Raw genomic sequence first — 17,841 nt, 5'->3', positions numbered from 1 at the left:
CTCTTTCCAAGTAAACACTAAGTCTGTAAGGATTTTATCTGTTTGGATCTGCATTGTATCTCCATTTTTTCAAAACATTGCTTGGTGCATGGTTGGTATCAGCAGACATTTGTTGACCAAATGTAGTAATGTTTTATTCAAGAAAATTCTAAAAGATCTTGATATGTAAAACTTCAAATTTTTCAGAAGCATGCAATCTAGTGTTTTATTATTTATGAATTTGTGGAAATAAAGTTCTAGAGAAATTGCCTTCTTGAATGCCATATTTCTGTTGTTCCAAAGTCTCTGTTGTTCAGAGCTATTCTACCATCTAAAAAAAAAAAAAAAAAAAAAAAAAGACAATGAGGAGGAGAATGCAACTGGATTCTCATCTCTCACCTTATACAAAAATCAACTCAGGATGGATCAAGGACTTAAATCTAAGACTGAAACTATAAAAATTGTAGAAGATAACATCAGAAAAACCCTTCTAGACATTGGCTTGGGCAAAGATTTCATGACCAAGAACCCAAATACAAATGCAACAAAAACGAAGATAAATAAGTGGGATTTAACTAAACTAAGGGGCTTTTGCACAGAAAAAGAAATAGTCAGCAGAGTAAATAAACAACCCACAGAGTGGGAGAAAATCTTCACCATCTATACATCTGACAAAGGACTAATATCCAAAATCTATGGAACTCAAACAAATTAGCAAGAAAAAACCAAACAATCCCATCAAAAAGTGGGCTAAGGACATGAATAGAAAATTCTTAAAAGAAGATATACAAATGGCCAACAAACATATAAAAAATGCACAGCATCACTAATGATCAGGGAAATGCAAATCAAAACCATAATGCAATACCATCTTACTCCTGCAAGAATGGCCATTATCAAAAAATAAACAAATAATAGATTTTGGCATGGATGCAGTGAAAAGGGAACACTTCTACACTGCTGGTGGGAAGGTAAACAGTACAACCACTATGGAAAACAGTGTGGAGGTTCCTTAAAGAACTAAAAGTAGAACTACAATTTGATCCCAGCAATCCCACTGTAGGTATCTACCCAGAGGAAAAGAAGCCATTACATGAAAAAGATACTTGCACACGCATGTTTATAGCATTACAATATTCATAATTGCAAAAATGTGGAACCAGCCCAAATGCCCATCAACCAACGAGTGGATAAAGAAACTATTATATACAATGGAATACTACTCAGCCATAAAAAGGAATGAATTAATGGCATTCAGAGCAACCTGGATGGGACTGGAGACTATTATTCTAAGTGAAGTAATTCAGGAATGGAAAAGCAAGAATTGTATGTTCTTACTCAAAAGTGGGACCTAAGCTCTGAGGATGCAAAGGCATAAGAATGATACAATAGACTTTGGGGACTTGGGGGTAAAGGGAAGGAAGGGAGTGAGGGATAAAAGACTACAGATTGGCTTCAATTTGTACTGTTCAGGTGATGGGTGCACCAAAATCTCACAAATCACCACTAAAGAACTTATTTATGTAACAACAACAACAACAAAAATAGACAATTAATTGGTACATGAGAAGGAATGCCTGGAGCAACTTAAGAAAGAATAGATGACTGTTAGGAGGTGAGGGAAAAGTAATTTCTAAGCAATTAGACTGTACTTTCTATTTGGACTATAATCTCTAGTGAGGGAAGAAATCATATCTTTGAATTCTCAGACCCATTATAGCAACTGAAATATAGAAGTCTTCTTTTGTCAATTATTATTCAACAAATATTTATTGACTTTTAGCTGCCAATTGCTAGTCTAGATATTGATTATATGGTAGAGAGCATTAGTTCTATGATTTTCCAGGGACACAAATCTACAAAGACTGGAGAATAACAAAATGATATTATTGCAGTTACTAGTAAGTACTATAATATAAAAAAGCACCAGTAATTGGATAGCTGTTGTTGGATGACAAGGTGCTAGTTTAGATGAGCTGATCAACCAAAGCTTCATTGAGGTAGTAATACTTGCACTGAGGTCTGAATAGTGTGAGAGTCCAACATGTGAAAATCTAAAAGAACATTCCGGGCAAAGGAGAGTATAGCTATTACTATTCTGAGGTTATAATGAGTTTGGCTTGCTCAATGAACAGAAAAAAACCACTGAACGATAGTGTACAGTAAGCCATAGGTGAAATATAAAAGATGAGGTTGAAAAGTTAGGCAAAGGCCAGACTATGTGTATTTTTTTAAAAAAAAATAATAAATGGATACCTTAACTAGATGAGTGGACGGATAATTCAGTGGCCTACTAGAAACGGTGGCATTGCCTGCCTATAGCTGTGGCTCTCATTATCTTTCAGGATGTCACTTCACAATATGGTATGGGGAGTTTCCATTTGTGACACAATATAAGAACTACAAAGTAATAGAAGTATTAAATTCCAGTAGAATAGACAGCTCACAGTTATATATTGTTCATCAAAAATAAAATGCCAAAAGCTCTTTTTAATGTTGCATGAGATCATGTCCAGCCTTAAGCAAAGTGACTCTGGCACCCATAGGAATGCACCTCTTAGATCTCCAACCACAAGGAGGGCAATTGGCCAAGAGCTCCAGCTGTCATGCTCTGAAACCCATGATTGCATCTATGCTGAGGCTATGTCTACATTTCCCATGGGCTGTGCTTAGCCGATGACTAGGTGTATCTGGGATATTAAGGCAGGCCAATTTCTGGACACACTTGATGCCTCTGGTGGCTACCTGTGCCTTGGGACTCCTCAGTAACTTCACTTCATTTTCCTCAAACTGCACAGCAGTCTAGGAAGTTTGTACCCAATCATCCTTTCTTCTCTCCTTCACTCAGGTTAATAATTTCATCATGATCTGACTGTTCTCTTAGCCTTTTCCAGCTTCCTCCTGATTTTAATCCCATGAGATGTCTGCTTCTCAGAGGACATAGATTAACAAAGTAATAAAGTAGATCAACTTGTTTTTGATGTCTCTTTAAATAACTTTCTACCTTGCCAAAAATTAAAGTAAAATAATATTATAAACATTCTTATTTTCCATGATTTTGATTTAACACAATTATTAGTCAATTAAAGATCCTACTTCTAAGTAGGAACTTCAAAAGACGTTAAAATCTTTTAAAACGATTCATTTGTACTTGGTGGTCTATTAAGCCCCAGTGATCTCTAGGGCAGATACAAAGACATTGTAAATCTCACAGGAAACTTAACGTTTGCTGTCACATTTGTAAACTATTTAGTTTTTCTAACTGCTTCAATTCTTATAGATTTGAAGTATATTCTTTAGTAATCTAACATATAATTTTTTTTCTATTTGCCTCCTTTTAAAATAATAATTGTTGGCAGAAAGGTGGAATTACCTGCTTTAAAAGTAGAACATTTTATCACACTTAATCTCTCCTCTTTTTTACATACAGCACAGTGTCCTATGTCCCTTTCTCTTATTTCATGGTACCTTTTCTTTCTGAGAGGCATATGTGACTATTTTGTTTGTGAAAGGCATATTGCATGTTACAATACTTCAGTTTTTAGAAGCAAATGAAATTCCTTCAAGTCTAAATTGCTCTGCCTTACTTTCCAGTTTCCTTTATAAAGTGACATCACCTTTTTCTTCACACCTCTCCAACCTCCCATTGTATCTCCAAAGCTCCACTCCTCCCACCAAACTCAAGCTTCCTGAAATGTCCCTTACTGTTACATGAACTCTATCGACACCTGTTCCTGTTTTATGTATCCTTTAGGACACATTGAATATTTTTCTTTTTCTGCCATCATACTAACTGATCACACTAACCTTCATTCACCCCTTCAATTTAATCCTATTTTAATTTTTTTTGCTGTTATAATAGTTAATTATGTGATTACTTCTCTAGTTGTTTCATGTTTCCATGTTTTGATTATGCCTCCCACATTGTCACATGAGATGCAAACTTCGAAAATATGTTATGTACCACATAGAGATTTGGAAACAGCTGAACTGAGACTAGATTCTACCTCTGTGAGTTACCAGTTTTTTGCTTTTTGTTTTTAACCATAGATAAGCTACTTAATCTTTCTGAAACTTCTTCTTTTTTTTTTTTTTTTTTTTGAGACAGACTGTCACTCTGTCCCCCAGGATGGAGTGCAGTGCAGTGGTGCGATCTCAGCTCGGTTCAAACTCTGCCTCCTGGGTTCAAGCAATTCTCATGCTTCAGCCTCCCAGGTAGCTGGGATTATAGGTGCCCATCACTATGCCTTGCTAAGTTTTTGTATTTTTAGTAGACACCGGTTTCACCATTAGTAGAGACAGGTTTCACCATGTTGGCCAGGCTGGTCTTGAACTCCTGATCTCTTGGACTCCTGATCTCAGGTGATCCGGCCACCTCAGCCTCCCAAAGTGCTGGGATTATAGGTGTGAGCTATCACACTTGGCCTCTGTGAAACTTTTTTCTTAAAAAATAATGCAGTTACCTTCTTGAAGGTTTTGTTTGAGGTTCAAATGAGATAATTTCTGTGAAAGCATTTTTGAAAATAAATTTTATGGCTGGGTGCGGTGGCTCACACCTGTAATCCCAGCACTTTGGGAGGCCGAAGAGGATGGATCACAAGGTCAGGAGTTCAAGACCAAGGTGGCTAAGATGGTGAAACCCCATCTCTACTGAAAATACAAAAATTAGCCAGGTGTGGTGGCAGGTGCCTGTAATCCCAGCTACTTGGGAGGCTGAGGCAGAGAATTGCTTGAACCTGGGAGGCAAAGGTTGCAGTGAGCCAAGATTGCACCACTGCGCTCCAGCCTGGGAGACAGAGCAAGACTCCATCTCAAAATAATAATAATAATAAAATAAATAAATAAATTGTATTGTGTATATTGAAGGTATACAAAATGATGACACATGCACATATATAATAAGATGGTAATAATACTTCACTACAGTGAAGTAAATGAACATCTATAGTGCCTTCTCTTTGTAAATAAATACTATATATTTCACCATTTTTCCTCTATCCTATATATGAGCTTTTGAGAAGACTGGCATTAGGACTCATTGGGTTTTTAGAAATGATGACTAACCAACACCATATAAATATTTAGCACATACTATTTTCTTTTGTTTTTTATAATTTCAGCTTTTATTTTGGATTCAGAGGGTACATATGCAGGTTTGTTACCTGGGTATATTGCATAATGCAATTTTACTTAGAGTAAAATTGATGTATGATTGATCCCTTCACCCAGGTAGTGAGTATGGTGCCCAATAATTAGTTTTTCATTCCTTGTTCCCCTCTCTTCCTCCACCCCCTTCACTCTAGTGGTCCCCAGTGTCTACTGTTGCCATCTTTATATATGGCATATGAGCTATAGGGTCCCCATTCTTTAGCTGTATGAAACCTATTATTTAGCTCTCACTTTTAAGTGACAACATGTGATATTTGGTTTTCTGTTCCTGCCTTAATTCACTTAGGATAGCAGCCTCCAGTTGCATCCATGTTGCTGCAAAGTACACGACGTTATTCTTTTTTATGGATTCATAGTACTCCATGGTGTATATAGCACATATTATTTTCATTTAGGGTATTGTATTCTGTATTTGATCTTGACTAATATGCCAAGTGTCAGATAGGAACAGAAATTTTCCCTTTTTCCTTTCTTTCTTTTTTTGAATAATAATTAGAAACTACTCCCAAATATAATGTGACCTACAGAAGATTCATTTAAAAAACGGCAAATCACATTTGTTCCCCTCTAAAATGATACAATTTCATGTAAATAGAACCAGTGTTGGAAGGATGAATACTGATTTATGTTTTAGTATCACAAATTTGATCAATTGATATTATTAGGTAAGAATCTCTCATGTTTAAAATCACTATTCTAGAATAAAGACAAATTTCACATAGAACACAACCATATTTTTATGTATTGTGTCAATTGTTCTATAATTAAATAACATTTACAGAGATTTTCTTTCTTTTTCTAGTTCACGTTGGGATTATTTAACTTAATTCTCAGACAGACTCTGTGTTGTTAATTTGGCTCTTATTGCTATGTGTCTGAGGGGAAGAGGGAAACATCTAAAAAAAAAAAAAACAGTGTCCATATGTCCAATTCCATGTGGAAACTGGTTAGCTGTTCTTGGATACCTTCCTATTCCTGAATCAATGATTGTGGCCAGGAGAACAGGACACTTTGGCAATCTATGACCTATATTCCCAATAGTGCAATACAGAGAGAAGAGAAGTTGCCCAAATGTACAAATGCAGGACAAAAAGCAGAATATATCTACTACAATAACTTCCACTCAAGAAATTAGAAAATAATAGTTCTCATTAATAGGTATCTTGATGGTATTTACTATATACATCATATTTGGGTTTTTAATTTTAAAATTAAAATAAAATGTGATTGGCCTGCAAGTTAGAAAAAAATATTTAATTTTTGGTTACAGACAAATTTTATAGTGCCTTCCCTGCCCCTACAATAATTACTGATGTGTAAATAGTAAGCATCTGAGCTATATGACATTAGCACGCTCTCAAACAGTTTTTCAAAGTCACTAGAGTATGAACCCTCTTAAGGAAAATAATTTTTATGCTTTCTCCCATGTTGCTTTTAATTGTTTTCATTACAATGTTACTCAAATATGTACCAACACAAAAATGACATAGCAAACACTTCCATGGTACTTACCATGTCTCAAGCTATTTGAAGATCTTTACACATATAACACATTTAATCCCAATAAAAGCCTTCTGACTTGAGTGCTATTATTGCACCATAGATCATATGAAAACATTGAAGATGAAAGAGGCTAAATAACTTGAACATGGTCATGCAGCTAGTGATTGTCAGTCTGGGTCTGGAATCCAAGTTTTTAAGCATCACTGCCAAAAAATATAATCTCCTTGTGCATATAGCTTATATATAATAATATAACTGAAACCCAGAAGTAAGAAGTGAAATCAACTGCAAGAACAAACCAGCAATCCCAAGAGGACCCAGAGACCCTCTGAAGGAAGCAGACTGCTCCTGCAAAACGTGGGAGACACTGCAAATACTGTGAGTGTCCTAACTGAAGAAGTGGGAAAGGGAGACCCTCCTCTCTCAAACACGCACCCCCACTGGAGAACCTGAAGGTCTGTTTGCAGGAGAAATTTCTGACTTTACCTGGAGATGAGTCAATTTAGAGAACCAAGAGAAATACAGGGGTAGAGAAAGCAGCAGAAAGGCCCTGGGAGCTCACTGGGTCCCCTAGCAGCCTATTCCTTCCTGGCACCACAGAGATCCATTGGGAGGGTGGCCAGAGGAGCAGGGGGTAAAACTCCACAGGGAGGAGGAAATCACTAACGGAACTTTGTAAAAATTTGAACAGGGTGAGAAGCCTCCTGGCCAGAAATGGGGAGAGGGTGCAAATCCTGTGTGCAGACTCCACAGGAGGGGGAATAACCAAGCCCTTTTCTTTCATAGCTGAAAGGCAGGTAGCCTGGGGCAAGTTTTCAAGCCCATCTCGCCCTTCACCTGGAAACAGACTTGGGGCTGTTGCAGGGGTACCATGGGAGTGAGACCAGCCCTTCAGTTTATGTGGGAGCTGGGTGAGGTCTGTGACTGCCAGCTTTCCCTCACTTCCCTGACAACCTGCATGACTCAACAGAGGCAGCCGTAATCCTCCTAGGTACACAACTCCAGTGACCTGGGAATCTTACCCCCACCCCCCACAGCAGCTGCAGCAAGACCCGCCCAAGGAGAGTATGAGCTCAGACATGCCTAGCCCTGCCCCCACCTGATGGTCCTTCCCTACTCACCCTAGTAGTGGAAGACAAAGGGCATATAACCTTGGGAGTTCTAGAGCCCCACCACTGTCAGTCCCTCTCCATACTACTATACCTGATGCTCTCTGGAAATGGCCACCTCCCAGCAGGAGGCCAACCAGCACAAAAATAAAGCATTAAATGACCAAAGCTAAGAACCCTCATGGAGTCCATAGCACCCCCCGACCCAGCACCTCCACTGGAAGAGGTGCTGGTATCCACGGCTGAGAGAACCATAGGCAGTTCACATCACAGGACTCTGTACAGACAACCTGCAGTACCAGCCTGTAGCCGGGTAGACTCGCTGGGTGGCTAGACCCAGAAGGGAGACAACAGTCAGTGCAGTTTGGCTCACAGGAAGCCACAACCATAGGAAAAGGGGGAGAATAACTACATCAAAGGAACATTCCTTGGGACAAAAGAATCTGGTCAATAGCCTTCAGCCCTAGACCCTCCCCCTGACAGAGCCTACCCAGACGAAAAAGACCCAGAAAAGCAACCCTGGTAATATGACAAAACAAGGCTCTTCAACATCCCCTCAAAAAATCACAATAGTTCACCAGCCATGGATCCAAACCAAGAAGAAATCCTTGATTTACTTGAAAAAGAATTCAGGAGGTTAGTTATTAAATGAATCAGGGAGGCACCAGAGAAAGGCAAAGCCCAATGCAAGGATATCCAAAACAAGATACAAGAAGTGAAGGGAGAAATATTCAAGAAAATAGATAGCTTAAAGAAAAAAAAAATAAAAAATTCAGGAAACTTTAGACACACTTTCGGAAATGCAGAATGCTCTGTAAAGTCTCATCAATAGAATTGAACAAGTAGAATAAAGAAATTCAGAGCTGAAAGACAAGGTCTTTGAATTAACCCAATCCATCAAAGACAAAGAAAATAGAATAAAAAAATATGAACACAGCCTCCAAGAAGTCTGGGATTATGTTAAACGACCAAACCTAAGAATAATCAGTGTTCCTGAGGAAGAAGAGAATTCCAAAAATTCGGAAAACATATTTGGGGGAATAATTGAGGAAAACTTCCCCTGTGTTGCTAGAGACCTAGACATCCAAATACAAGAAGCACAAAGAACACCTGAGAAATTCATCGTAAAAAGATCATTGCCTAGGCACATTGTCATCAGGCTATACAAAGTTAAGATGAAAGAAAGACTCTTAAGAGCTGTGAGACAGAAGCACCAGATAACCTATAAAGGAAAACCTATCAGATTAGCAGCAGATTTTTCAGCAGAAACCCTACAAGCTAGAAAGGATTGGGGCCCTATCTTCAGCCTTCTTGAACAAAACAATTATCAGCCAAGAATTTTGTATCCAGCGAAACTAAGCATCATACATGAAGGAAAGATACAGTCATTTTCAGAAAAACAAATGCTGAGAGAATTTGCCATTACCTAGCCACCACTATAAGAATGGCTAAAAGGAGCTCTAAGTCTTGAAACAAATGCTGGAAACATATCAAAACAGAACCTCTTTAAACCATAAATCACACAGGACCTATAAAACAAAAACACAAGTAAATAACAAAAGCAAAACCAAAAATCCAAAGTACACAAGTAACAAAAAGCATGATGAATGCAAAGGTACCTCACATTTCAATACTAACATTTGAATGTAAATGGCCTAAATGCTCCACTTAAAAAATACAGAACTGCAGAATGCATGAGGACTCACCAGCCATCTGGGGCCTTCAGGAGACTCACCTTACACATAAGGACTCACATAAACCTAAAGAAAAGGTGTGGGAAAAGGCATTTCATGCAAATGGACATCAAAAGCAAGCCAGGGTAACTATTCTTATATCACACAAAACAAACTTTAAAACAACAGCAGTTAAAAGAGACAAAGAGGGACATTATATAATGGTAAAAGGCCTTGTCCAACAGAAAAATATCACAATCCTAAACATATATGCACCTAACATTGGAGCTCCCAAATTTATAAAACAATTACTCATAGACCTAAGAAATGAGATAGACAGAACACAGTAATAGTGGGGGACTTTAGTACTCCACTGACAGCACTAGACAGGTCATCAAGACAGAAAATCAACAAAGAAACAATGAATTAAAACTATACCTTGGAACAAATGACTTAACAGATATATATAGAACATTTCATCTCACAACCACAGAATACACATTTTATTCAACAGCGCATGAAACTTTCTCCAAGATAGACCATATAATAGGCCATAAAATGAGCCTCAATAAATTTAAGAAAATTGACATTATATCAAGCACTCTCTCAAGCCACAGTGGAATAAAACTGGAAATCAACTCCAAAAGGAACCTTCAAAGCCATGCAAATATATGGAAATTAAATAACCTGCTCCTGAATCAGCATTGGGTCAAAAACAAAATCAAAATGGAAATTAAGAAATTATTCGAACTGAATGACAATAATGACACAACCTAACAAAACCTCTGGAATTTTTAGCAGAGGCGGTGCTAAAAGGAAAGTTCATAGCCCTAAACGCCTACATCAAAAAGACTGAAAGAGCACAAACTGATATTCTAAAGTCACACCTCAAGGAACTAGAGAAACAAGAACAAATCAAACCCAAACCCAGCAGAAGAAAGGAAATAACGAAGTTCCAAGCAGAACTAAATGAAATTGAAACAAACAAAAAATACAAGAGATAAATAAAACAAAAAACGGGTCCTTTGAAAAGATAAATAAAACTGATAAACCATCAGCAAGATTAACCAAGAAAAGAAGACAGAAAATCCAAATAACCTCACTGAGAAATGAAAGAGGAGACACTACAACTGACACCACTGAAATACAAAAGATCATTCAAGGCTGCTATGAACATCTTTATGTAAATAAACTAGAAAACTTAGAAGAGATGAATATATTCATGGAAAAATACAGCTCTCCTAGGTTAAATCAGGACAAATTAGATACCCTGAGCAGACCAACAACAAGCAGTGAGATTGAAATAGTAATTGAAAAATTACCAACAAAAATAAAATACAGGACTAGACAGATTCACAGCAGAATTCTACCAGACATTCTAAGAAGAATTGGTACCAATCCCTTTGACACTAATTCACAAGACAGAGAAAGAAGGAATCCTCCCTAATTCATTCTATGAAGCCAGCATCATGCTAATACCAAAACCAGGAAAGAACATAACCAAAAAAAAAAAAAAAAACAGAAAACAAAAAACTAAAGACCAATATCTTTGATGAACATAGATGCTAAAATCCTTAACAAAATACTAGCTAACCGAACCCAACAACATATCAAAAAGATAATCTACCATGATCAAGTGGGTTTCATACCAGGGATGCAGGGATGGTAACATATGCAAGTCAATAAATGTGATATACCACATAAACAGAATCAAAAATAAAAATCACATGATTATCTCAATAGATGCAGAAAAAGCACCTGACAAAATCTAGCATCGCTTTATGATTAAAACTCAAAGCAAAATTGGCATACAAGGGTCATACCTTAATGTAATAAAAGCCATCTATGACAAACTCACAGCCAACATTATACTGAATGGGGAAAAGTTGAAAGAATTCCCTCTGAGACCTGGAACAACACAAGCGTGCCCACTCTCACCACTACTCTGCAACATAGTACTGGAAGTCCTAGCCAAGCAATCAGACAAGAGAAAGAAATAAATGGCATCCAAATTGGTAAAGAGGAAGTCAAACTGTCACTGTTTGCTGATGACATGATCATTTACCTTGAAAACCCTAAAGACTCCTCCAGAAATCTCCTAGAACTGATACAAGAATTCAGCAAAGTTTCCAGATACAAGATTAATGTACACAAATCAGTAGCTCTTCTATACAACAACAGCGACCAAGCAGAGCATCAAATCAAGAACTCAACCCCTTTTACAGTAGCTGCAAAAAAATAAAAATAAAAATAAAATATTTAGGAATATACCTAACCAAGGAGTCAAAAGGCCTCTACAAGGAAAACTACAAAACACTGCTGAAAGAAATCATAGACAACACAAAGAAATGGAAACATGTCCTATGCTCATGAATGGGTAGAATCAATATTGTGAAAATGACCATACTGCCAAAACAATCTACAAATTCAATGCAATTTCCATTAAATTACCACCATCATTCTTCACAGAATTAGAAAAAACAATTCTAAAATTCATATGGAACCAAAAAAGAGCCTGCATAGCCAAAGCAAGACTAAGCAAAAAGAACAAATCTGGAGGCTTCACATTACCTGACTTCAAACTATCCTATAAGGCCATAGTCACCAAAACAGCATGGTACTAGTACAAAAATAGGCACATAGGCCAATGGAACAGAATAGAGAACCCAGAAATAAACCCAAATACAGCCAACTGATCTTTGACAAAACAAACAAAAACATAAAGTGGGGAAAGGACACCCTTTTCAACAAATGGTACTAGGATAATTGGCTAGCCACATGTAGGAGAATGAAACTGGATCCTCATCTCTTACCTTATAAAAAAATCAACTCAAGATGCACACCTAAGACCTGAAACTATAAAAATTATAGAAGATAACATCGGAAAAACCCTTCTAGACATTGGCTTGGGCAAAGATTTCATGACCAAGAGCCCAAAAGCAAATTCAGTAAAAACAAAGATAAATAGCTAGGACCTAATTAAACTAAAGAGCTTTTGCACGGCCAAAGGAACAATCAGTAGAGTAAACAGACAACCCACAGAGTGGGAGAAAATCTTCACAATCTGTACATCTGACAAAGGACTAATATACAGAATCTAGAATGAACTCAAACAAATCAGTAAGAAAAAGCAAACAATCCCACCAAAAAGTGGGCTAAGGGCATGAATAGACAATTCTCAAAAGAAGATATACAAATGGCCAACAAACATATGAAAAAATGCTCAACATCACTAATGATCAGGAAAATGCAAATCAAAACCACAATGCGATACCACCTTACTCCTGCAAGAATGGCCATAATAAAAAAAACAGTAGATGTTGGCATGGATGAGATAATCAGGGAACACTTCTACACTGCAGGCGGGAATGTAAACTCATGCAGCCACTATGGAAAACAGTGTGGCGATTCCTTAAAGAATTAAAAGTAGAACTTCCATTTGATCTAGTAATCTCACTACTGGGTATCTACCCAGAGGAAAAGAAATCATTATTCGAAAAAGATACTTGCACATGCATGTTTATAGCAACACAATTCACAACTTCAAAATTGTGGAACCAACACAAATGCCCATCACTCAATGAATGGATAAAGAAAGTGTGATTATCTATCTATCTATCTATCTATCTATCTATCTATCTATCTATCTATCTACATATCTATCTATCTATCATCTGTCTATCTATCTATCTATCTATCATCTATCTATCTATCTACCTACCTACCTACCTACCTATCTATGATAGAATACTACTCAGCCATAAAAAGGAATGAATTAACAGCATTTTCAGTGACCTGGATGGAATTGGAGACTATTATTCTAAGTGAAGTAACTCAGGAATGGAAAACCAAACATCAAATGTTCTCACTGATATATGAGAACTAAGCTATGAGGATGCAAAGGCATAAGAATGATACAATGGACTTTGGGGACTTGCGAGGAGTAGTGGGAGGGGGACGAGGGATAAAACACTACAAATAAGGTGCAGCGTATACTACTTGGGTGATGGGTGCACCAAAGTCTCACAAATCACCACTAAAGAACTTACTGATGTAACCAATACCACTTGTACCCCAATAACTTATGGAAAAATTTTAAAAAAGGAAATAAGGAAAGCAAAACAAAACAAAACCAAAACCCAAATGCAAATGAAATACAAAACTGAAAATCAATAGGTTACGTCCTCCTCATCAGTCTGTTCTCAACAAGACAGCCATAGTCACCTTATTTAAACACGTCAGAACAAGGCAATGCCCTATTCAAAATTATACATGATCCCTCTCCCTCAGCACCTTTCACACACTTAGATTAAAATTGAGCCTTATTATGAGTGAAGGCACTATATGATCTGGCTTCCCACTATGTTGGAACTCAAAATCCTACCAGTCTCCACCTCATTAACCACACTTTGGATACAAAGGCCTAGTTACTATTCTTTGACCATGCCAAGACCACTCCCAATGCCATATGTGAAATATCATCTCCTCTATCTTTCTATATGTTCACTACTGTTTTTTTTTCCTTCATTTTCACCACTTGACATTTTTATTGTTTGTTTATTGTCTGTTTCCCTAACTAGATTGCAAACATCTTGAAGAGATGGTGTTGGCATTGCTCACTGCTTATTTCCTAGCATCTATAATTGTACTTGGCACACAGAAAGCATTGAATAAATATTTTAAATTAACTTTCTAATTTTAACTGTATATTCACCTGTGAATTTAAGAAGTAATAGAAGCTTCACAAATCCTTTACTAGTTTTTTCCTGATGGCGGTATTTGTAAAGTGTGGTCCAACATCACAACAAAATCACAGGACATTTACATTGATAGAGTCAAGATATAGAACATTTCTATCATCACAAGGATCCCTCCTGTTTCCTTTCTTTAGTCGGTTGCAAGCTTCTTTAGGCCTGTGGTCAGCTTCTTCAGCTCCAAGTCTGGGATATATGAGGGAGAATAAAAACCCAGGTAATTCACCATCATGCTGTTCCTTGGGTCCCAAGATGCCTGACCAGTCTAACTTCTGTCTACCTTTCAGAGTTTCAGCATACGTAATCTATTCTGGTGGATGTGTAATGGTATAGCATGACTTTAATTTGATAACTAATTAACTTGAAGTCTTCTTAAAATATACTATTTTGGCCATTTGGATATATTCTTTGATAAAGTGTCTTTTCAATCTTTTGTTCATTTTTTCTGTTGTGTTTCCTTTTCCTTACTGATTTTTTTTGAGTTCTTTCTTTATTCTGGGAAACGCTCCTCACACTGTGGATTCATTGACTCTATTAACAATGTCTTTTAAAAAACAGAAGTTCTTGGCTTTTATATAGTTCAATGTATCAACTTTTTATTTGCCCTAAGAATATGGAATTGTTCTCTAATGTTTGCTTCTAAAAGCTTTATTGTTTTATATTTTACTTTTATATAACACATTTTTATGACATTAACTTTTGTGTATGGTGTGAGATGAGAATCTAGATGATGTTTTTCTCATACATATATCCACTTGACCTAGTGCAATGTATTAAGATGGTCCTCCGCTCCCCACAGCACCAAAGCTTCATATTATTGTTGTTGCTGTAGATCAGGAACGTGTGTGGGTTTGTTTCTGGACTTTTTTCCATTGATCAGTTTGCCATTTTTAGCCACAGGTATTTCTTTTATTATTTCCTGATTAAGATATAACTTTTATAGAATGGTGCCACTTTTGAAATCAAAATGTGACATGAAGTTTAGTTTATTTAATTTGGTGGCACAAGTATAACACAGATACTGATTTTCCAGTTGAGTAGGACAGCAGAAATTCCATAATTTGTATCTCTCGCCAAGTGTCTTAGTCACTTGGCTTATGGAATCACTGAAATAATGAGTTCTCATATCAATACCTAGGAAGTTACTGTTAAGATACAAGAGTTAAGTTGCCTTTAAGATGCAAGAGTTCTCTCTAAGTTATGAGTCTCTGTACTTCTGTCTGCTTTGGGACACATAAAAGAATGCTGGAGAAGTTCAATGGCAAATTGGAATTGTTTCACACTATACTCTTGAGCAAAGATTGAAAAACTACAGCCCGCAGGCCAAATTGCCTGCCACCTATTTTTGTAAATAAAGTTTTAATGGCTAATTTTGTGCTACAATGGTAAAGTTGAGTTGTTGTGGAAAATATTGTATGCCTCACAAAGCCCAAAATATTTACTGTCTGGCTGTTTATAGAAAATGTTTGTCAACTCTTTGTCAAACAACTCTAGAGAATGTGCACATATTCCTCTAAAAGAACTGTTTGGTTACCACAGCTGTACTAGGGGCTTAAACAGGTCATCTTGTTATATTGCTTTCTAGTGAGTGTTAAAAAATTAATAGGACATTTTCCTAATATTGAGCTTCATATAAATTGTTCAAGGGAAATATATATATATATATATATATGAACTTTTTCAAAAAGTAGAGAGAGAAAAAGATGATTGCCAGAAACTACTACAGGGAGTTTCTAAAAACGAAATATACTATCACTTGCCTTTGACGAAAATTGTTGGTGGAAGCCACTGTCATTGTGAGTAGTTTTCGGCAAATGGGAAAATGTTGCCATTAACAGTAGCTTGCAAGTAAGAGCCACAGCTAATGTAAAAATCCACCCTTGAAAATGAATATCAAGATATTTTTAAGACCCACTAAAACAAACATCCTTTGCAGCAGAAGATATATTTGTAGGCTGTCTTTTGTGAATGTGCTATATAAGTAAGATTCCAAAAGACCTGTCGTAGTATGGGAGAGGGTGGGTAGTAGGTATATTTTACTCTAGTTGCTCAATGTTAAAAGAGCTGATTGTTTAAGTCTACAGTAGACTAATATCCTTGATAAGGAGACCTGAGAGTCAGGAGTAATTTAAAATATAAGTCCAAAGAGGATTTGCTGGATTATAAATAAAAGAGTAGAACCAAGGATTAAGTACCAGAAATAAACCAATTGAAGCTGGATATGTTTGGGGATAAGAAATATCTCCAAAAAATACAAGTCTTGGACAATAATTACTACCATCAGTAGTGACTGCCTTATTTATTTGCTGAATATTTTGAGCTGTGTTTAAAGGTATGGGTTTAATCTTGACCTTATGAGTGATGATAGAGATTGCAGCCCTTCAGATTAATTACTAAAAGTTCCATTTCTGGTATGATAGAGTAAGGAGTAAGTTTCAAATGGTCCAGCCCGCCAACAGATCACAACTATAAACAAAAAAACTTATTATGTATAATTTATATTATATAGGTATGTGTGTGTGTGTGTGTGTGTGTGTGTGTGTAAACAAATTATTAAGTATCAGAGGCAGATTTGGAGATGATACAAAACTTGGAAGACAGGACCAGCATAGGATACGTTTTCATTTTTTAGTCTTAGTGTAAGGACAGTCTGCAGGTGCAGTGGACTGCAAATAACTAACACTGTGGTAGAGAATCTATCCTCTTGGCATCCAGGAATGAGCCTGGGATAACTGCAGGTACTAGAAAGTAAGGTGGAGAGGCATCTCAGAAAAGAGAAATCCAGAAGATAAGAGCCCCCAAATTGGTATACAAACTTTGCCCAATTCTCAGGCTGACAGGTGAATTGAGCATGTCTGCAGCAGACTCAAAACATCCTGCAGCTAAGGCTAAAAGAACAACACTGAGATTTTGGCTGTCTCCCTCCATAGGCACACAAAGTATGTAATTTGAGCCTAACCAATTAATTGCCTTCTAATATAAAAATAGTATCTTTCTTTGGAGGAATATTAGAGAATGCAGAAATAATGACTTGGATACAATACAGACTGGCTTCACATTCAAAGAAAAAATATATGATTAACAGAGTCCAACCCTGAGACGACCCAGATGTTGAAATTTCAGATAAAGACTATAAATCAGCCAATAAATCTATGCTTAATAAAATAAACTTAATAAATAAATAGGAAATCTCAGTAAAGAAATTGAAAATATTTTAAAAGAACTGAATGCAAATTATAAAACTGAAACATACTGAAACACGCATATTTGAAAAAGAAACATTTTATGGGCTTTATAGAAGAATGAAGATGACAAAGGAAATAATTACTAAACTTTAAGATAGATCAATATGAAGAAAAGAGAAAAAAAGTTAAAGATATCAACAGAGCCCAAGTTGTCTATGAGATAATATTAAAACTTTTAACATATATTTAATTAGAGTCCCAGGTGAGAGTGAGAATGAGGCACAAAAAATATTCAAGAAAATAATGGCTTAAAACTCAAACTGAACGATGACTTACTGAAAATTATTTACACATTCCTGGAGCTCAGTGAATTGGACTACTTTCAATAAAGAGAAAGGATAACAAAGTTTCAGTAGGGCACTTTAGAAGGCTGGAAAATGTAGTCAAAGCTCATGGTAGTGTACAGCAT

General features: G+C 36.6%; 1 protein-coding gene across 8 annotated transcripts in view, besides 1 other annotated feature; it reads left to right on the top strand.

The window, feature by feature from the left end:
• The window catches only part of CTNNA3 (catenin alpha 3), a 1,851,072-nt gene that overhangs the window by 1,593,016 nt on the left and 240,215 nt on the right, over positions 1-17,841 (top strand). The window lies entirely within an intron of this gene.
• Positions 3,878-4,047: an enhancer, noted in NCBI's record as "experimental_15277 CRE fragment used in MPRA reporter constructs". NCBI's record gives its function as "activates a minimal promoter by MPRAs in K562 erythroleukemia cells, with activity observed for both the introgressed and non-introgressed 10:67926375 variant alleles {active_cell/tissue: K562}" and the evidence as "EXISTENCE:reporter gene assay evidence [ECO:0000049][PMID:34662402]".

This window comes from Homo sapiens, chromosome 10 (assembly GCF_000001405.40).
Source record: "Homo sapiens chromosome 10, GRCh38.p14 Primary Assembly".
Taxonomy (NCBI): Eukaryota; Metazoa; Chordata; class Mammalia; order Primates; family Hominidae; genus Homo; species Homo sapiens.
The sequence above is the reverse complement of the archived record's forward strand: the minus strand, read 5'-3'. Positions and strand labels throughout refer to the sequence as shown.